Below are 20,283 nucleotides of genomic sequence, written 5' to 3'. Positions count from 1 at the left end.
AATAGTCATTCACAACATCCGGCCACCCAGGCAGGCAGTAGCACCACGGGCCATCAGTCAGCCAGCCTGCAAGGTCCTCAGGAGGCTGCCTGTCTTTTCCACTGTCAGGCTACCAGCCCCAGCCAGTCCTAGGCAGGCTGTCATTCAGTTAGATGTTCAGGAAACTGCGCTGTCACGTCCTCAAGTTGCGCCTTCTCCCTGTCACTCCATGAGTTCTGTAGTCAACCAAACAGTTATACAGTTAACCAAACGGATATTCTGTCTGCCTGCCAGTCCAGCTGTGAGCTCATTAAGAAGTGACTGGCTGGTCTGAGGTTCCGTCAGCCCCAGCTTGCCCTGAGGGGACAGACAGGAGCGAAGGTCCCACCATGCATCCCCTTCCCTCCCTTACTCCTTCTCGAGCAGAGTCAGGTGCTCATCCTCATGTACCCCCAGTCTCCTCGGGCAGCAGGGCTCTCCCACTCCCGGGTGTCCAGGAGACCTGTCCAACCCACAAGAGTGATTTAAGACAGGACCTCTGCCTGTCTGGATCTGAGAGGGAGACAAAAGGGTCTGTCGCCAGTAGTGCCCCCAAACACTATAAAGTAGTGGGCAAAAGTCTGGATTCTGGAGCCTGACTACCTGGACTCATATCCAGGCTCTGCCATTTACTAAATTACTTGATCTTAGGCAGTTTCTTAAACTGGTCTGTAAAACCTGCAGTAAGTGACCTTGGGGTGGGTGTCTCCTGCTCATCTGGAAAGTGAATCATTCTGGACTAGCACTTTTTCAGGAGACCTCAAAAGTTAAGAGGCCATCTTATTGCTACCGTGTCCCACTCCCAGCCAGTTGTCTGTTCATTCAGCATTAATTTAATGATTACTGCGTTGCCCAGTGCCGGAGCCAATATAAGGTTTTATTCACAGGTTTGACCTATTGTAATGTAAACCTCAGATTGGAGTGTAACACAAATACAGAAGGGTACACAGACCAGGGGTGAACACTGTAATGAGTTTTCACAAGCAGACCTACATGTGGAACCAGAATGCAGGCTGAGCAACCATTAAGCCAGATCTCAGAAGCATTTAATTGTTTCATATAAATTTATTGGGTACAAATATAATATTTTTTTTTTGAGACAGAGTCTCACTCTGTCACCCAGGCTGGAGTGCAGTGGCGTGATTTCGGTTCACTGCAACCTCTGCCTCCCGGGTTCAAGCGATTTTCCTGCCTCTGCCTCCTGAGTAGGTGGGATTACAGGCGTGTGCCACCACACCTGGCTAATTTTTGTATTTTTAGTAGAGATGATGGGGTTTCACCACGTTGGCCAGGCAGGTCTCAAACTCCTGGCCTCCAGTGATCCACCTGCCTTGGTCTCCCAAAGTGCTCGGATTACAGACATGAGCCACCATGCCAGGCCACAAGTGTAATTTTGTTACACAGATACATTGTGTAGTGGTGAAGTCAGGCATTTTACTGTATCCATCATCTGAATAATGTACATTGGCCTCCCAAAGTGCTAGGATTACAGGCATGAGCCACAGCGCCAGGCCACAAGTGTAATTTTTTTACATGGATACGTTGTGTAGTGGTGAAGTCAGGCATTTTACTGTATCCATCAACTGAATAATGTGCATTGGCCTCCCAAAGTGCTGGGATTGCAGGCATGAGCCACAGTGCCAGGCCACAAGTGTAATTTTGTTACACGGATACATTGTGTAGTGGTGAAGTCAGGCATTTTACTGTATCCATAGCCTGAATAATGCACATTGTACTCGTTAAGTAATTTCCTCATCATCTACTTCCTTCCCACCTCCCCACCCTTCCAAGTTTCTGTTGTTTATAATTCCACATGCTATGTCCATGTGTACACATTATTTAGCTCCCACTTACAAGTGAAAAGATTCAGTATTTGTCTTTCTGTTTCTGAGTTGTTTCACTCAAATTAATGGCCTTCAGTTTCATTCATGTTGCTGCAAAAGACATGATTTCATTGTTTTTTATGGCCGAATAGTATTCCATTGTGTATACCACATTTTTTTTTTGAGACGGAGTCTCGCTCTGTTGCCCAGGCTGGAGTGTAGTAGCGTGATCTCAGCTCACCACAACTCTGCCTCTCGGGTTCAAGCAATTCCCCTGTCTCAGCCTCCTGAGTAGCTGGGACTACAGGCATGTGCCACCACGCCCGGCTAATTTTTTGTATTTTTAGTAGAGATGAGGTTTCACCATGTTAGCCAGGATGGTCTCTATTTCTTGACTTCATGATCCGCCCATCTCGGCCTCCCGAAGTGCTGGGATTACAGGCGTGAGCCACCGCGCCCGGCCAACCAGAACACTGGATTTCTAAGATTTCTGTGGGGGACTGGGAGTAGGGATAAATGATGCTGATGGATCCTTCCTAGACTCAGTGCCCATCTGGGGACCTGGTCAGGGTGGGGTGGGGAGTGGTGTTGCGGTGTAAAGAATAATGAATTAAAGGAAACCTGAGACTCCCTCCTTCTCTAGCTTGGGGGAGTTCCCCTTTCCACCTAGAAATTCTTCCGTTGCTCTTGCAGACTGAAGAAGCCTGCCCTCTCTGGAGTCTCCCTCACCTTTATCTTCCTCCCCACTACCTTTCTCTTTTTCTCCTCCTCTAAAGGTAGGATGTCTGAGATCTCGAATTCACCAGATTTCAGAAATCGGAAGGGGCAGGGAGCTCAATTCTAGGCTTTGCTGTGCAACAGTTTCTAATTATGCCCTTGGAAATAGCTGTAAACGCCAAGGACGCTTTTGAGTTACTCCTTTGTTTCTGGGAGAGCAAGTCCTGAGGAGGCAGAGAGGTGACTCAGTGGGATCCCCGTTGGAAATCAGTTACCTCCATTGTATAGATGCGGAAACCAAAGCTCAGAGGTGAGGCATCTTTCCCGGGTTCTAGAGCAGATCTGTCTGATAATTAAGTCTTTGCCTTTTCCATTGCAATTGGCCAGTGCTTGATTTGAACTGGGAACTGGGCAGAGCCAAATTTTAAAAATGAGAGGGGGATCCTGCCCATCAAGATCCTGGTGTGTGAGTTGTTATGGGCATGGAGAATGGGGAGGTCTGCTCATTGAGTATGCTGCTCTTAATCTAGTATTGTGTTGATTGAATGATTTTTTTTTTTTGAGACGGAGTCTCGCTCTGTTGCCCAGGCTAGAGTGCAGTGGCACGATCTCAGCTCACTGCAACCTCTGCCTCCCGGGTTCAAGCAGTTCTCCTGCCTCAGCCCCCATTAGGAGCTGGGATTACAGGTGTGCACCACCATACCCAGCTAATTTTTGTATTTTTTAGTAGAGACAGGGTTTCACCATGTTGCCCAGGCTGGTCTCGAACTCCTGACCTCAGGTGATCCGCCCACCTCGGCCTCCCAAAGTGCTGGAATTACAGGCATGAGCCACTGCACCCAGCCGATTGAATTATTTTTTTAAAAAATAATTAAATGCATGACATCTGGCCTCATGCCAAGCCTTTTCTCACCTCAGGGCCTTTGCACTGGCTGCTCCCTCAGCCTGGAACCCCTTTTCCCCAAATATTAACTGGGCCGACATTTCTCTCTCTTTAGGTCCAGCACCACCATCACCTACTCCAAGTGACCATCCCTGACTGCTCCATCTGAATGTTGTTTCATCTGTATCTCTGCCTTACCACTCCACAGCATTTATCATGATCTGCAGCTATCTTTTATTTCTATTTGATTTCTTGTTTCTTGTCTGTCTCTTCCCCTAGAATGTGGATTTCACCCCCTAAGGGCAGGAATTCTTGTCTGTTTTTTTTCCCACTTCTTGATTCCTAGCCCCTAAAATAGTACCTGACAATAAATGTTGAAAGACAGAGGGGCAGAAGGAAACAAAGAAATACAGGCTAAATGACTGAGGGAATAAATGAATGAATGAATATATACATGTAAGGCTAAATAAATAAAATGGGATAAATGAATAAAAGGGACTTTGGGGGAAAGGGACCCCATTCCCACATTTGGAATGTAAACAGACTGAGATTTATAGAGAGACAGAAAGACAATTCTTTTATTTTTCTTTAAAAATCCTTGAGTGAAGAGAACTGAGAATTTTTGTATAAAAAGGGCCTTGGGATTGTTGGGTGAGTGTGAGGACCAGGCAGGGATAACAGCATTGGAGGGGTTGGTGGGGAAGAAATGGGGGGTTGGGGGCCTGGAAGAGGAGAGTGGAGGGTGGGCACAGAGCAGGTGGAGGGGGAGCCATGTCCTGCGGGGAGGAGCACAGGGCAGCAAGTAACTCAGCCACTCAGTCATCCCATTCATCATCTTCATCTTCATCGCCAGCCTGGTCCTCCCCTTCGTCTGGAGGGAAAGAGAAAGATAAGATGCCCTGGGAGGTTGGTGGGGGGCTTCATAGGGCCTGGGAGGTGAGGACTGGACCCTGGGGTTCTGAGGTCTCATGCTAGAGGAGGGCAAGTTAGAGTTTCCATTTGGGACAAGAAAGGGATTATAGTTGGGGTCTGAGTTCTAGTTGGAGTTGAAGTTTATGCTGTCAAAAATGTGGTTAGTCGAGATATTGTCAAACAAAGGGTTAATGTTAACCTATTTATCACATAATAGGGTGAATTTAAATAATATTAGCAAAGGTGTGATAATATATTATTGCTTCCTGTCTGGTTAACGCTAATATTTTTGACACATAATGGGGTTAATGACAATAACATCAAAATTAGCTGGGCGTAGTGGCGTGCCTGTAGTCCCAGCTACTCGGAAGGCTGAGGCAGGAGAATCGCTTGAACCCAGGAGGCAGAGTCTGCAGTTAGCCAAGATCGCGCCACTGCACTCCAGCCTGGGTGACAGAGCAAGACTCCGTCTCAAAAGAAAAAAAAAATCATTGTCGAAAGATGAAGTTCCTATAGTAGGTTGATACTAATATTTGCATCATATAATGGATTAGTGACAGTATTGCTGACAGATTAAGAGAGTAATAGTAACATTATTATAAAAAGATTAGGTTAACAGCCAGGCCTGGTGGCTCATGCCTGTAATCCCAGCACTCTGGGAGGCTGAGGCGGGGCAGATCGCTTGAGCCCTGGAGTTGCAGAGCAGCCTGGGCAACATGAGAGTAGTGAGAGCTTGGTAGTGAGAGCTCATCACTACCAAAAAAACACCAAAAATTAGCCAGGTATGGTGGCACACGCCTGTAGTCCCAGCTACTTTGGGAGCTGAGGCGGGAGGATCGCTTGAGCCTGGGAGGTTGAGGCTGCACTGAGCCATGATTGCACCACTGTACTCCAGCCTGGGACACAGAGCGAGACCCTGTTTCAAAAAAATTTTTTAAAAGATTAGATTAGGTTACGTCATAATGAATTAATGTAAATCTGTTAATACATGGAATTAAAATTAATATTGTCAACAATAGTGTTCTTCATAATATTGTCATCACATAATGGGTTAATTTTTTTTTTTTTTGAGATAGGATCTCTGTCACCCAGGCTGGAGTGCAGTGGCACAATCATGGATCACTGCTGCCTTGACCTCCCAGGGTCAAGCAATCCTCCCACCTCAGCCTCCCAAGTAGCTGGGACCACAGGCACACACCACTATGCTTGACTACTTTTTTTGAATTTAGTTTTTATGGAAACGAGGTCTCACTATATTGCCCAGGCTGGTCTCGAACTCCTGGGCTCAAGTGATCCTCCTGCCTTAGCCTCCCAAAGTTCCTGGATTACAGGCATGAGCCACCGCGCCGGCCAGCTGATGTTAATAGTACTGAACATGTGGGAATGACATTAATATTGTGGACACACCCTGGCATTAATGTTAATATTACTGTCAAAGTTGGAGTTAATTATATTATTGTCACATAATGACTTAATGTTAACATTGTCAAAAACGAGGCTGACACAAGATTCATGTTAATGCTGTCAAACAGATGGGGCTGATGTCACTATTGGTGGTGACTGCTGGGATTGTTTTGAGGCCAGTGCTAGCCCTGGGAGCCAGGTTTGAGGCCCCGGCAGGATCAGCTCACCGGAGGAGTGGATGGCTCTGCTTCTCTTCTGCATCACGTGCATCAGGGCCCCCACCAGTCCCTCTGAGCTCTGAGGTGGTGGCTGCAGCGCTGAGCTCTCTGGGGCCCCAGGGGTCTGCAGCAGGCAGGGATCAGCACAGAGGGCTTAGGGCCTGGGAAAGGAGCATTTCTCCCCGCCCCTCCATCAATATTTTCTCTCCCACACACTCCAGTCCCCTTCAAGGCTTCCCACCAACCTTTCAACCCTATCACTGAATCCCTAAGGCCTGGCACTCTCCTCAGTCCTGGCCTCAGCCCCCCAGTATCCTGACTTAGACGGGACACCCCAGAGTCCTAGACCCCCAATCCTCCATCCTGCCTGTCCTCACCTTGTTCAGCTGAATTCCCTGCCGGATTTGATCCAAAAGCGCTCCCCGACCCCCACCAGGGGCCAGGCCCCCGGCAGGCACCAGAGCAGGAGGGAGTGGGGGAGGGGCTGGTCCATTCCCGGAGCTGGGCGGCGGTGGCGGTGGTGGCGGTGGTGGTGGCATGGGTGGCCCACCAGCTCCAGGGGGTGGAGGGGGCAGTGGTCCAGAACGTCCAGTAGCTGGAGGGGGTGGTGGTGGAGGGCCCCCTCGGCCTGGGGGTGGGGGTCCCCGGGGTGTTGGTGGGGGTGGGGCAATCCCCAAAGGTACAGGGGGCAGTGGACCAGAACGACCCTTGTTACCCCCCACAATAGGGGGCCGGGGGAGCTGGTTCCCTCCTCGAGATGGCGGTGGGGGCGGCGGAAGTGGCTCTGTGGAGGGGGTATAACACATAGCTGTAACTCTCATTGATTTCTTCTGAGCCTCAGTTTTGCTCATTTGTAAAATGGGTACCCCCACTGACCAACTCCTGACTGAAGCAGTATAGGTGCTCCCATAAGGACTGAGTGACTTAGTGCGTATCTTAGCTATGAGCTGCTTGGGCTAGAGAAGGGAGCGTATGGAAGCAGGGTCTCACCCTGGCGCCTCATCTCCTGCCGCACAGCCTCCAGCCCACCCTGGTCCTCAATGAAGTCGTAGATAAGTTTAGAGGTCTCGGCGTCGGTGAGCTGGGCCTCGCTGATTCCTGCCCTGGAGAACAGACTCCGCAGATCTGGGTCGAGGTTGTTCACCTGCCCAGGAGGAAAAAGGCCAGGGGCAGGAGTAGAGGAATAAGGCGAGGAGACAAGCGACATGGATTGTCGTTGGGTCCATCCCAGCAAGGGATCTGAGAGGGGTGTGGGAAGGGCACGATCTGGGGGTGGGGTCTCAGCAGTGGTCTTTGGAAGGGTGGGTGGAAGTTTAGTGGAGTCCAAGAGACTCTGAAGTTACTCACGTCAAATCCATTCTGGGGGTCCCACCCCACGTGGCTGACATGCCTGGGAGAGGTGAAGAGACTCCAGTGAATCCTCACTGCCCTTCCTTCCCTCCCTTCATAGTGAAACCCTCTTGCCCTCTCCTGCCCAAAGAGACTCTGAGGGGCCAGAATTAATGAATGAGACTGAATGAGTGAATGAGTATAGGCAGGAGTTATGGAATTAGAAGGGCTCCATAGTTTGTGGTGCTGATCCATCCACCCATCCCTCTTTCCCCATCTATCCCATGCATTTGTCCACCTATTCATTCACATTCATCTGTTGGACTACTGATCTGTCCATACATCTGTCTCTGCAACTATCTGCCCACATATGTCTGTTCACCCATTTGTCCACCAGTCTGTCCTCACACACACTTGTCCATCCACCCATCCACCTACCCATGTGCCCACCTTTCCATCTATCCATCCACTCATTTTTCTACCCATGCAACCACACACTTCTGTTCACTTATCCATTGAACTGTCCATTCATCCACGTATCTGTCCACCTGTCCATCCCCATCCACCTTGTCTGTGAGCCAATCAGCCTGCATATCAATCTGTCCACACACCTATCCACTCACCCATCTATCTATCCACGCACCTCCCATCAACCCATCCACCCATAAACTTGTCCATCCAACCACTTATCCATTCATTCTTCAACCCATTCATTCATCCATTCATTTATCCATCCATCCACCCATCCACTCACCCACCTACCCACCAGCCCTTCTCATCCATCATCTACCTCATCTATCTATCCATTTGTTCACCTGCCCACCCACCTGCTCTCCTAACAGCCCACCCAGAGTGGGCCCAGGGTGAGGCAAGTAAGGTGCCTAGGGTGCAAAATTTAAGTGAGTCACTCACTCTGAGAGTCAGGAATTACAGTTGCATGCCTCTGAGAGTGAGTGCCTCCTTAAATTTTGTACCCTTGGTGCCTTATTTACCTCTCCCTAGACCCAGCCCTGCACCTACCTATCCAACCACCCATTTACCCACTCAGCCACCCAGCCATCTGCCCATCTGCCCATCCTTCCATTCACTCAGCTGTCCACTTGTTCATGTGCCCCTCTGCCCCCAGGAATCTGTGGGTCCACTGGGGAGTGGCTCTCACTTGAATCCACTGGGTGCACCAATATCAGCTTTGCTGATCTTCTTCTTCCCTGAGCGTTTCTTATCAGCTGGGCTAGGTCCAGGTGCTGGGAGCCCACGGTATCGTGAACTCGTGATGTCAGGGTTCTGGATGTCCACTGTCGCCAGCCCCAGGGAGAGCGGACCCACTGGAGGGCCTGTGGGGAAAATAGGGTGGTTGGCTCATTGACCCACTTACCAACCAACCAAAGCACAGGGGCAAGAAACGGAAGCCTTGAGGGAAATCTGTGTGTGTGTTGGATGGTCATGGAGGTAGTGGGTGAAGGGTTCAAGTAGGGTCTATGGAGAAGTGGGTGGATCCCACAAACCATTCATACATTCACTGATTCATTCATGTTTTCATTCCCTCATGCTTTATCATTCACTGGCTCATTGACTAATGAATTTGTTAAAATATTCATTTACTCATTTATTCATTCAATCATGCTTTCTTCACTGACTGAAACTTGTCATTTAGTCATTTATTCACTGTTCATTCATTCACTCATTGATTAATTTACTCAGTCATCCATCTACCTTTTCATTCATTTATCCACATACCCATTCACCTATGCATCTATCTACTTAGACTTTCATCCTCCCATCAATTCATCCCTCTACTCAGCCATCTACCGCCAATCCATCCACCCATCCATCAGTCCACACATCCATGCACCTGCTCGTCCATCCACATACCTATCAATCTACCTATCCATTCACCCACTTACGCACCCATCCAACTCCTCATTCCTCCATCCACTCTTACCCATCCATCCAGAGACACAGGGAAGAATCAGCACGCACCTCCTTGGTCTCCACCTGGATGCAGGGGCAGGGGTGGGAGCCCTCCTCTTCTCTCTGGGAAGATGGAATGTGTAGAGAGTTATCACAGCCCTGCCACAGGTTCCTGGGCTAGCCCCTTATTACCCCTACTTGCACTAGAGGACTCACCTTCATTGGCTGGTGTTGGTGGTGGGGGTAGCTGGCGTCTGTCTGTGGATAGATGGATTGGGAGCCAGGACCATGAGAGGGGACTTTTCTAGTTCCCCAGGCTTGCACTCACCTCTGCCCAACTTCCTTTCCTCCCCTGTGGCCTCCTCACCTCCACTTTGCCTCTGATTCCTTTTTTGTATCTTCTCCTGCACGAGGGCCCGGAAGGCCTGGGCCTCGTCCTCGTCTGCAAAGTTCAGCCCCGCTTGGCAGTCCTGCACATACCTTGGGGTCAGCCGCCTCCCAGGTCCCCCGCAACTTTCCCATCTCCTCTCCACACCCCAAGTGAGGCCCGAGGGCTGGTTGATCACTTACATCTCCAGCGAAGGTGTGGAAGAAGGGGGTGGGGGTGGAGTAGACAAGCTGTGAGTACAGCTCCTGTTCCCAGAGCAGCCGACCAGCCTGGAGAGGTGTAGGGTGGGAGGCACAGTGGCACTGAGGCACGCCGGGGGTGGCAGGCTTTTGTTAGCTGGGCAGGGAGCAGGGTGTCTGGATTTGGGAGCCTCATAGTCTGGTTTGGAGATTTTCAGCTCAGCACCAGAGAGTTGGTGTCTAAGGGTGTGGATTGTGGGGTATAGTCTGGGAGCCATACACTTTTGTGAGAGGTTTGGATTTGGGGTTTGGGGCCCTAGATCTGGGACTTGGGGGCTTGAATTTCATAATTTAGGACTCTAGTCTTAGGAAGTTGAGGCTCATTCACAGATTCAATCCATGCCCTCCCCCACCACCCCAGCCCCAATTCATGACAGGTAGGATTCTAGTATTTGGGGGTTGGAGTTGAGATTTGAAGTTCAGACACATAGACTTGGGAGTTTCGCGGGGAGTCCAGCTAAAGTAAGTGCAATTTGGGGTTTGTGGAGAGAGTTATGGTTTAGGAGTTTGGTGGATATTTGATAGCCTTGGGATCTGGAAGTTATGCTGGGTCCATCTTTATGGGTTTAAAAGGATGAATTTGGGGCTTAAACCTAGAAAGTTCAGGTCAGGGGATTGTGGAAAAGACTTTTTGCTTAAGAACTACCTCGGTATTTGAGTGTTCAGGAATTTTAATATGGGAACTCTGGGGTCTGTGCTGTGGATTTAGAAGGACAGATTTGGAGTTCAAGGATCAATGGAATATTCAACTTTGGGGTTTGTTGAACAGATTTATGACTTAGGAGCTTGGCAAACATCTGGGGTTCAGGAGTTTTGATGAGAGATTCCTGGGATGCAAAATGTTGAGTTTAGAATAGATTTGAGGTTCAGGTACAAATACAGTGCTCATTTATTGGAATTTGTGGAAAAGATTAGGCTTAGGCAGCAGACTAATACTGGGGGCTTTAGAGATCTTGATACGGAGACTGGGGCCAGTCATTGCAGACTTAGAAAGGCAAGTCAGAGTTTGCCATCTGGATGAGTCTTTGGTTCTGGGGCTCAGGGATTCACTGATCAGGTCTGAGGTCTTGAAGCTATGGACACATATGGACACAGATCTGGGTTTGCGGGTTGAGAACTGGCTTGCAAGTCCAGTCGGGGGTGGGGGGGTCACCTGAAGGCCGTAAAGGCGGATGAAGTAGGACTTCTGGGGGTTATCCTTCACGAAGCACACAGCCCCACAATGCTCCTTGGTCCAGTGCTCAGCTCCAGGGGGCAGCGCCAGGTACAGCTGAACAACTGCAGTGGCCAGCGTCTGGGAGAGGAAAGCAGGGGTCAGTGGAGTCTGGTCAGGGGTAGCCACAAGGTCTTGGAGCCAGACCTGGTCCTTCCTGCCTCATGACAGTCATGGGCCCAAAGGAAGAGCTGCAGCCAGAGGGAAGGCAAGTAGACATTGAGATCTTCCTGGGAAGGGTGGATTATGACGGGAAATTCTAGGAGAGGAGATGATGGAGAGGGAAAGGAGGAGCGGGAGGAGGGGAAGAGAGAGAAGGAGGAGAGGAAGAGGAAGAAACGGTGGGGACGGGGCGGGGGCAGGAGATCCCCAGCTCACCAAGCATTTTCGTCCAAGCATCTCAAAGAGTCGCTGGTTCTCGTGGTCCTGGAGGAGGGTGGAGGGTATGTTCTGCTGAACCGCTGGTGCTCCTCGGCCCCCGGGCCTTCCTCCCATTGGGCCCCCACTCATGGTGCTTTCTGCCCTTGTCTTCTCTGGCGAGGCTCTGGGTGCAGGGTAAGAAGAGGAACTTCCGCAATGAGCAGCAAGGGAACAGGAAATGCAAAAAACCACAAGGGACAAGGGAAACAAGTCCTCCAGGGGCCCCTTGGTGGGCCTGGCCTCCTCGTTAGGCTGAGCTTGGGCCCTCCGCCATCAGATTGGAACCCTCCTCCACTTGACTGCTTAGACCCACCTTTTGGATCAGCTTGGGTCCTCCTCCCCCTTTCTTACTCTCTGGGGCCCATCTCCTTCTGACTGGCTCAGACCCTCCTCCCTCTGGCTGGCAGCGAGAGCTTAGCACATCTGTGTGCAGGGCTCCCTGTGGCAAGGAGTAGTCATGGGCCTGGGTGGCCTCCTTTCTAAAGCACCTAGGTAGCCTGAGGCTGAGGCCCGAGGTCCCTAGTCCGGAAGGGTTACTACAGTAAAACTTTTCCTTTTGGCTGGGGACAATAGCTCACACCTGTAATCCCAGCACTTTGGGAGGCCGAGACGAGTGGATCACTTGAGGTCAGGAGTTCAAGACGAGCCTGGGCAACATGGCAAAACCCCATTTCCACTAAAAAATACAAAAATTAGCCAGGCATGGTGGCACACACCTGTAGTCCTAGCTGCTCAGGAGGCTGAGGCAGGAGAATCGCTTGAACCCAGGAGGCGGAGGTTGCAGTGAGCTGAGACTGCACCACTGCACTCCAGCCTGGATGATGACAGAGCAAGACCCTTGTCTCAAAAACAGCAACAACAACAACACAACAAAAACCCTTTTCCTTTTAATTACAGAGCGAGCCCCTGTGATCCACGCCTATCGTGAGTGCTTAGACACTGCCAATGACGCATATGCCTCTGGTCCACTTCCCCATCCCTTACCCTTGCCTCCCCGCAGCTCCCAAATTACTTTCTGCTTGTCATACTTTTTTTTTTCTTTTTTTTTTTGAGATGGAGTCTCACTCTGTCGCCAGGCTGGAGTGCGGTGGCACGATCTCGGCTCACTGCAACCTTTGCCTCCCGGGTTCAAGTGACTCTCCTGCCTCAGCCTCCCAAGTAGCTGGGACTACAGGCACACGCCACCACGCCCAGCTAATTTTTTTGTATTTTTAGTAGAGACAGGGTTTCACCATGTTGGCCAGGATGGTCTCGATTTCTCGACCTCGTGATCCACCTGCCTCGGCCTCCCAAAGTATTAGAATTACAGGCGTGAGCCACCGTGCCCAGCCCATCCCTTTTTTAAAGAAAGGAACTTTATATCATATATGAATGCCTGAACAACATCTTGTTTAGTTTTCATTGCACTTGAAGTTTGTAAAAGCACATAATCTTCAAAGGCTTGCTTTCTCCCCACTGGACATCCTAGTTTTATCTTAACACTCACATAGCACTTAACGTGTGTGCCAGTCACTGTTCTGACCCCTTTGCCCGGAGTGCGAGCCAGGCAGGCCAGGTGTGAGTGCATGGTCTCGTCCCTCCACGCCTTCACTCTTGGCTGTTGCTGTGATTCCTGTTTGCCTATAGTGGTAGCTGTTCATTTATTTCCACTGCCATACAGCATTCCATGGTGTGCATGTGCAGCCTGGGTGTCCATATTCTCCTGTAACAGCCCTTTGGGCTGCTTCTGGTTCTTGCTGTTGGGAGCAACACTGCAGTGTTCACTCCCGCACACATCTCCTGGTCCACATAGGCATGCAGACTCTCAGACGGGAATCTGAGGGCTGTAGGGTTTGCATGTCTCTAACTTCTCCAGATGATGCCAGACTATTTCCACAAGTGAATGCTAGCTCAGTCCCCGGCCTCCCCAGGCCTCAGTTTCCCCATGTATGAGGTAGGCCATTTGGAGACTTGAAGCTCTCAGATACAGGAACAGCAGTTTGGGGGAGCTGAGCAGGTCTGGGGTGTGACTGACATTCCCAGGTACCTGAAGGAGGAACGGCACATCTCCAGTTGGGACCTGCAGTCCTTCCTGGAAACTTCCATGGCTTCCCACACGTGCAGGTTCAAAGCCTCTCTCCTGAACCTAGGTTCAGAACCCCTTCTGCAGTGGCAGTTCCAACCTCCCTCCCGTGTCCCCACTCACAGCTAAGCTTCGGGCCTGGAGCACCTCCAACCTGCTGATCAGGGCAAGCCCCGATGTGGCCTTCAAGGCCATTGCACGTGTTCATTGTGACACTGCTCACTGAGCAGTCAGTGTGTGCTAGGCGTATCTCCAGCATTTGGACAGATGACACTAAATGGGTATTGAAGCATTGAATGAAGGTTCAGTAATGATATCCAATTTGATTCAGTGGTTCCAGAGGCTTTTCTAAGTGCTTTCCATTTATTAACTCATTTCACATTCACAGATGACCCCACAAAGTAAGCACTACTGGCCGGGTGCGGTGGCTTACGCCTGTAATCCCAGCACTTTGGGAGGCCGAGGCAGCCAGATCACGAGGTCAGGAGTTCGAGACCAGCCTGACCAACATGATGAAACCCCGTCTCTACTAAAAATACAAAAATTACCCTGGTGTGGTGGTGCACACCTGTAATCCCAGCTACTCAGGAGGCTGAGGCAGGAGAATCACTTGAACCTGGGAGGCGGAGGTTGCAGTGAGCCGAGATCGTGCCATTGCACTTCAGCCTGGGTGACAAGAGCAAGACTCCATCTCAAAAAAAAACACAAAAAACGTAAGCACTACTGTTACCCCATTGTACTGACTGGGAAGCTGAGGCCCAGAGGAGCTTGGGTGCCTTGCCCGAGGTCACACAGCTTGTGAGTGGTGGAGCTGAGGAAAATTATGAGAGAAATTGTTGTTCCCAAGCTGTGAGGTGCCACATGGAGGCCAAGATAAAATTCTTCTGCTCCTTTGTGTCTTTTATTCTCCACCTTTCTACTTCTTTCTCGGCCTCCAGAACTGTCCCCTTGAATAGGGGATGCTAAGCCTCTGATATATTTGCTGGTTGTTGGTGTTGTTGTTGTTGTTTTTAATGTGAAAGCAAGTTTATTAAGAAAGTAAAGGAATAAAGAATGGCTACTCCATAGGCAGAGCAGCAGCTTGGGCTGCTGGACTAAGGATACTTACAGTTATTTCTTAATTATATGCTAAACAAGGGGTGGATTATTCATGAGTTTTCCAGGAAAGGGGTGGGCAATTCCGGGAACTGAAGGTTCTTCCCCTTTTTAGACCATGTGGGGTGACTTCTTGATGTTGCCATGGCACTGTCATGGCGCTGGTGGAAGTGTCTCTTAGCATGCTAGTGCATCATAATTAGTGTATAATGAGCAGTTAGGAAGACCAGAGGTTACTTTCATTGCTGTCTTGGTTTTGGTGGCTTTTAGCCAGCTTCTTTACTGCAACCTGTTTTATCAGCAAGATCTTTGTGACCTGTATCTTGTGCTGACCTCCTATCTCATCCTGTGACTTAGAATGCCTAACCTCCTGGGAGTAGCCCAGGAGCAGCCCAGTAGGTCTCAGCCTTATTTTACCCAGCCCCTATTCAAGATAGAATCACTCTGGTTCAAACGCCTCTGACATATTTGCCCTTCCCTTTTACAAGGAAACCCTTAATCCTAACGGTTTAGAGGGAGGAAGATTCATCTTCTGTAACTTCTTCAGGAGGAATAGGGGCGATGATATTCCTGCCTATTAGGGTCTCTTGTATTCAGGGTAGAAGGGAGCTCAGTCATAACTGAGCCACTCATAACTGAGCTCCAACAAAAGGTGTTGTCCATCCCTCTTGTTTCTTCTGAGGAGCCGTCACAGGTCACTGATTGGTTCACAGGAATAAGCAGGGTCAGTCCAAAGTTGGCCAATCAGTGCTGCAGTCTTTTTCCTTTGGGTCGAGGGTCTCCTCAGTATCATCCCTTCGTGGTTCACCAGGAAGATGTTACCGGAAAGGGGTCCTGATCCAGACCCAAGAGAGGGTTTTTGGATCTCACACAAGAAAGAATTCGGAGCAAGTCCATAGAATAAAGTGAAAGCAAATGTATTAAGAAAGTAAAGGAATAAAAAATGACTACTCCATAGGCAGAGCAGCTGCTGGTTGTTTTATTTAACTATTTATTTATTTTTGAGACAAAGTCTCACTCTGCTGCCTAGGCTGAAGTGCAGTGGTGCAATCACGGCTCAATACAGCCTCGACCTCCTGGGCTCAAGGGATCCTCCTGCCTTAGCCTCTCAAGTAGCTGGGACTACAGGTGTGCACCACCATGCCTCGCTAATTATCATATTTTTTGTAGAGATGGGGTCTCACTATGTTGCCCAGCCTGGTCTGAATCTCCTGGGCTCAAGCATTCTGCCCTCCTCCACCTCCCAAAGTGCTGGGATTACAGGTGTGAGCCACAACAGCCTTGCTGGTTGTGCTGGTTGTTTTATAAATTAACATTTAAAGGTGGATATTTCGTTACCAAGGTATGAGAATGAATTTTTTAAAGTTGTATATTTCCTGTTCTTATTTCTAAGTAGCAGACAAGTGTAAAATGTATATTTTTCTCTAAAAAACAAAACAAAACAAAACAAAAAAACCTGAAGCAGGCTGGGCGTGGTGGCTCACCCCTGTAATCCAGCATTTTGGGAGGCCAAGATAGGTGGATCGCTTGAGCCCAGGAGTTTGAGACCAGCCTGGGCAACATAGCAAAACCCCATCTCTACAAAAAGTTTTTTAAAAATTAGCTGGGTGTGGTGGCATATGCCTGTAGTCGGGGAGGCTGAGGCGGGATGATTGCTTGAGCCTAGGAAATCGAGGCTGCAGTGAGCTGTGATTGCCTCAGTGCACTCTAGCCTGGGCAACAGAACAAGACGTCGGCTCTTGAAAAAAAAAAAAGAAAGAAAAACTTAAAGCACATTTTTGTTATTTTAGTCCCTAATAGAATGAGTTTTCCCATTATAGACTATAGTGATTTACTAATCATTTTAGTATCACTTTTCATATTCATATTTTTTGATTACTCCATTGACTGGCATCAATAATTTGGAGCTGGTTTATTACGTTTATATGTATCCACAAACTCTTTTTAAAAAAAATTTAAATTTTTTTCACTCCGTTCTTCTAGTCTGATGTTCTCATCAACTCTTGCTGTTCTGCACTGGATGCCAGTACTTGGTGAGGTGATGACCTCAAAGATAATTTGCTCTCCTGGGCCTTCAAATAGACTCAAAAACAAAAACAGGAACTTTAATCCAGCTTTTCTGGTTGCTCTCAGCAGGAGAGTTGGTCTAATGCAAGCCAGTTCACACAGCAGAAGTGTTAATTTACTTCACAGTAATACAGCAAACACCAGGAACCCCCAAGAACCAGGATGGACCCCATCACCTTCCCCTCCAACCCCTAGGGGCACCAGATGAATCACCTCCTGTTTATATCTTGTTCTTATTTTGCTTCTTGTTGGGAAGATATTGACTACAAGGTCCTGATCACCACACCCCAAGCCCAGAGTAGGTAATAAGACATGGGGGGTGTCTTCCACACCTGGGCCACCACTGACTGAATCCATGCAGGAGACCTAGGCATGGGGAGGGTCCAACTGCTGTCCTTTAAAACCAAACTGAGGCCAAGATGGCAAAATTTACGTTGCTGTATCTTCCTCCTCCCCTCACCGTACTATCTTCATGGTCCTCCGTATCCCTGACTGAGGGTTGCTTCCTGGGACAGGCCTGACCTAAGGAAATATCATTTCCCAACCCTCAGACCCAATGCTCCCTTTTAATAAGAAACATTTTTGGAGGCCTCCTTTTACTATCCTGAAATGACATTCACATTCATGTACATTACAAGTCTTGCTGGTGTGGGACAGCCCCCCAGCACCAGACCTCTGCCCATTCAATGCCAAAGCACCCTCAAGGAGGAATTCCCAAAACACACCCCGAGGGCAGGCAGGAACAGGACCCTTGTCTGTCTGGTTCAGTGCGGTATCCCCACCACCTAGCACAAGACCCTGAATGCACTAAGTAAATAATTGCAGTCTGGATAGCTATGCTGTGATTTACTGCCCTCTTCCAACAAGGCTTCCCTCTCCTCTGTTCACTGCCCCTGCGTGGGGAGCCAGGGAAGAAAAACGACTCAGGGTGCGCAGGGGCCAGCTCCCTTGCACAGAGAGTTCTACACAGTTCACTGACGCTGTGGGCAAATGGATGCTTCAGGGGCCCTCTGTCCTGCCGGGGGCGGAATGAGGACAGGGTGAGCACAGAAAGCAGAGACATCTGTAGAGTCAATGACGCAGTGGTCAGAACACAGAGTCCAGAGTGCACAGCCTGACCCTTGCCCTGGCCCTGGCGCTTCTCAGCTGTGTGCCTTCTGGTAACCTCTACAGGGCCTCAGGTCTCTCATCCAGAACGCGAAGATGATAATAGTAGTTAAGGTTGTTGTGAAGATGCAGTGAGATGATTTGTGTAAAGTGATCAGGAGAGCTTGGCACGTGTTATAATTATTCATTACTGTTGCCGTTTCTATGAAATAGCTGAGTAACTTGGATCAATGAACTATCATCCCTGACGCCTAGATTCCCCCCTCCCTCAAGCGCCTCCTCACCTTCCTCCCTCAGGCTTCCAGGTTCCACCACCATTGGTGGATGGTCAGGAAGCCAGTATGCGCGACCTCCCTTTTCTTTCCCCTGCTGCAAAGCCCATCTCAGAGTTCCCTTCTGTGGGGCTCAGCCAGACACCCCCAGGGCTGGGACAGGCTCCTGGAGCCCTCCCCGCCAACCAGAGACCCCGCCCTACTCCCCGCACCTGCACAGGAAAACCCTGGCCCAGTCAGGCCCCACCAGGACCAACCAGGGAACCAGAAGTCTCCTCCCAGTCCCTACCTTGCCCTCACCCTCAGCCACCACCAACTCCCTCTGGGCGGGCGCGCCCTACCTTCCTGCGCCTCAGTCTTTGTGAGCCCAGGAGTGCCCACTCCCCAATGTGTGTGCCCCTGTGGGTGTCCAGAGCCTTGTCTGTGTGACCCTAGGGGTGTCTACAGCCCTGTGGGTGGACCCGGCAACCTGCACTCTCCAGCGTGTGCGACCCTTGGAGCCCGCAGCCCGCAATGGCTGGGCATGGACGCGCGCACGGAAGCGTCCACCCGGGGCCGCACCACTGGGGAGGGGCGGCCAACCCGGGCGCACCGTTTTGTGTTGTGGGAGGAAGGCGCCCCCTTCCCCGCGCGGGGCCGGGTCGGCCAGTCCTGGTCCCGTCCTACCGGCTCCCCTCGCCCCGGGCGGCCGTTGGCCTCTCTCCTGCCCACCGCGTTGCCCTCTCCTCCTTTGACTTAGTCTTGACCCGGCCCTCCCGCACACGAGCTGGCAATTGGCTCAGGGCCGGGGGGGAGGGGGTGTGGGGGGCTGTGAGCTCTGATTGGTCGATGACTGAAGTCGGGTCCCTGTGCTTCTCGGTAGCGGCCCGGGCCCGCCTCCGTCCCTGCGCGCCGGGCTCCCATTGGTCGCCGCTCTGGAGCATGCGCAGTGGGTGCCAGTCCAGAGCCCGGGCTCCGGGAAAGCCGTGCTTTTGCGGTTCCGGTTGCTGGTTCTCACACCGCTGCGTCGTGTGGGGTTGTTGGCCCGAGAAGGGGCAGGACAGGGTGCGCGCTGGCGGAGGTTAGTGAGGTCACATACCGGGCCTTGGCGCCTGGTGCACTGGGCGCCTCCACCGCAACCTTCGTAGCAAACCCAGCGGGGTTCTCTGCCTGGGCACCATGGTTCTTGCGTTCATTTACTGTCCAGTTTCTCATTCCGAAAAGTGTGGCTGTGAGTTTGATCTGCAGGAGTAGGACGGGCACAGGGGGTGTCTGGTCCTCCTCGCACCATAAATCGCAGAGCGAGCCCCCTGTGGTCTCTGGATATAGTATACCAAAGTTAGATTAATTGTACTCCTTATCACAGGCCGGTCTAACGTTCGCAGCAGTGAAAAAGCCCTACGTGCCAGGGCCTTTGGCGAAGCGTGTGTAAGGGAATAAACACTTTCCTCAGTTTTCCAGGCGCAAACGGATGGTTTTGGAGCATTAAGGTCTGGTCGGCTGGGGCAGGATGGCTGCGTTGACACGTCTTATTTACCACATCGTAGGTGAGGTAGCCACTTACCTCTTTACAGATTGAAATTTTTACATTTCATGTTTATGTAAGTTGAAATAGAAGTATATATTACAAGCATTATGAAAGTATGTAACAAGGCTGGGCGCGGAGGCTGACGCCTGTAATCCCAGCACTTTGGGAGGCCGAGGTGGGCAGATCACTTGAAGCCAGGAGTTCGAGACCAGCCTGGCCAACATGGTGAAACCCCGTCTCTACTAAAAATACGAAAATTAGCCGGGCATGGTGGTGCACGCCTGTAGTCCCAGCTACTCGGGAGGCGGAGGCAGGAGAATCATTTGAACGCGGGTTGCGAAGGTTGCAGTGAGCCGAGATTGCGCCACTGCACTCCAGCCTGGGTGACACAGCAAGACTATGTCTCACAAATAAATGAATAAAATATGTAACAGTATGTATAAATGTATGATTTATAGGGATGGAGCAGAGGGGACCCAATTCATTGCCCTGGGGTAAGTCACATGATGAAGGGAAGGGGGACTGTTGATTTTTTAACTTGGTGCCCAAAATGTTAGGAAGACTGACCCCTAAGGCATCTGCCTTCACCAACTGGGACAAATTTCCCTTAATTAGCTTGGAAACTCAAAGAGCCCAGTGCTGCCTCCACTGCTGAAAACACACACTGATCTTTGTATCAGGTCTTGTCCCGAGGAAGA

The 20,283-nt window shown here is 50.3% G+C and overlaps 1 protein-coding gene and 1 long non-coding RNA gene across 10 annotated transcripts, besides 1 other annotated feature; one reads left to right on the top strand and one right to left on the bottom strand.

Annotated features, from left to right (window-relative positions):
- LOC124905187 (uncharacterized) lies at positions 2,299-3,890 on the top strand. Its single transcript, XR_007068229.1, has 2 exons — positions 2,299-2,868; positions 3,557-3,890. It is a non-coding gene; the product is annotated as an uncharacterized LOC124905187 (long non-coding RNA).
- WAS (WASP actin nucleation promoting factor) lies at positions 3,992-18,783 on the bottom strand. Of its 9 annotated transcripts, none has more exons than XM_017029786.2 (13): positions 18,671-18,783; positions 11,434-11,599; positions 10,996-11,136; positions 9,786-9,872; positions 9,583-9,685; positions 9,432-9,473; positions 9,285-9,338; positions 8,464-8,638; positions 7,323-7,365; positions 6,966-7,119; positions 6,353-6,759; positions 5,985-6,099; positions 3,992-5,269 (listed from the first exon to the last, which is right to left on the bottom strand). In XM_017029786.2, the coding sequence occupies exons 2-13, from the start codon at positions 11,563-11,565 to the stop codon at positions 4,950-4,952; spliced, it is 1,773 nt and encodes a 590-aa protein (XP_016885275.1). In that variant the 5' UTR covers positions 11,566-11,599; positions 18,671-18,783; the 3' UTR covers positions 3,992-4,949. The 9 variants fall into 9 exon arrangements, with proteins under 9 accessions (XP_016885275.1, NP_001425808.1, XP_047298389.1 ...); NM_001438879.1 differs by having other exon boundaries at positions 3,992-4,312; XM_047442433.1 differs by having other exon boundaries at positions 6,353-6,603.
- Positions 18,546-18,975: a silencer, noted in NCBI's record as "silent region_20819". NCBI's record gives its function as "represses an Ori minimal core promoter by ATAC-STARR-seq in GM12878 lymphoblastoid cells {active_cell/tissue: GM12878}" and the evidence as "EXISTENCE:reporter gene assay evidence [ECO:0000049][PMID:35858748]".

The sequence above is a fragment of the Homo sapiens genome, chromosome X, assembly GCF_000001405.40.
Source record: "Homo sapiens chromosome X, GRCh38.p14 Primary Assembly".
NCBI lineage: Eukaryota > Metazoa > Chordata > Mammalia > Primates > Hominidae > Homo > Homo sapiens.
Note: the sequence above shows the minus strand (reverse complement) of the source record. Positions and strands in the feature narration are given on the sequence as shown.

What these genes read in the sequence shown, in the direction of transcription:
- WAS (XM_017029786.2), bottom strand. Translation starts at nt 11,565, where the DNA reads ATGAGTGGGGGCCCAATGGGAGGAAGGCCCGGGGGCCGAGGAGCACCA. An exon ending in TGCTTGGACGAAAATGCTTG is followed by an intron (nt 11,137 to 11,433) that starts GTGAGCTGGGGA and finishes TTCCTCTCCCAG; the next exon opens with ACGCTGGCCACTGCAGTTGT. An exon ending in CAGAGCCATCCACTCCTCCG is followed by an intron (nt 5,270 to 5,984) that starts GTGAGCTGATCC and finishes TTTTTGAAACAG; the next exon opens with GGTCTCGCTCTGTGTCCCAG.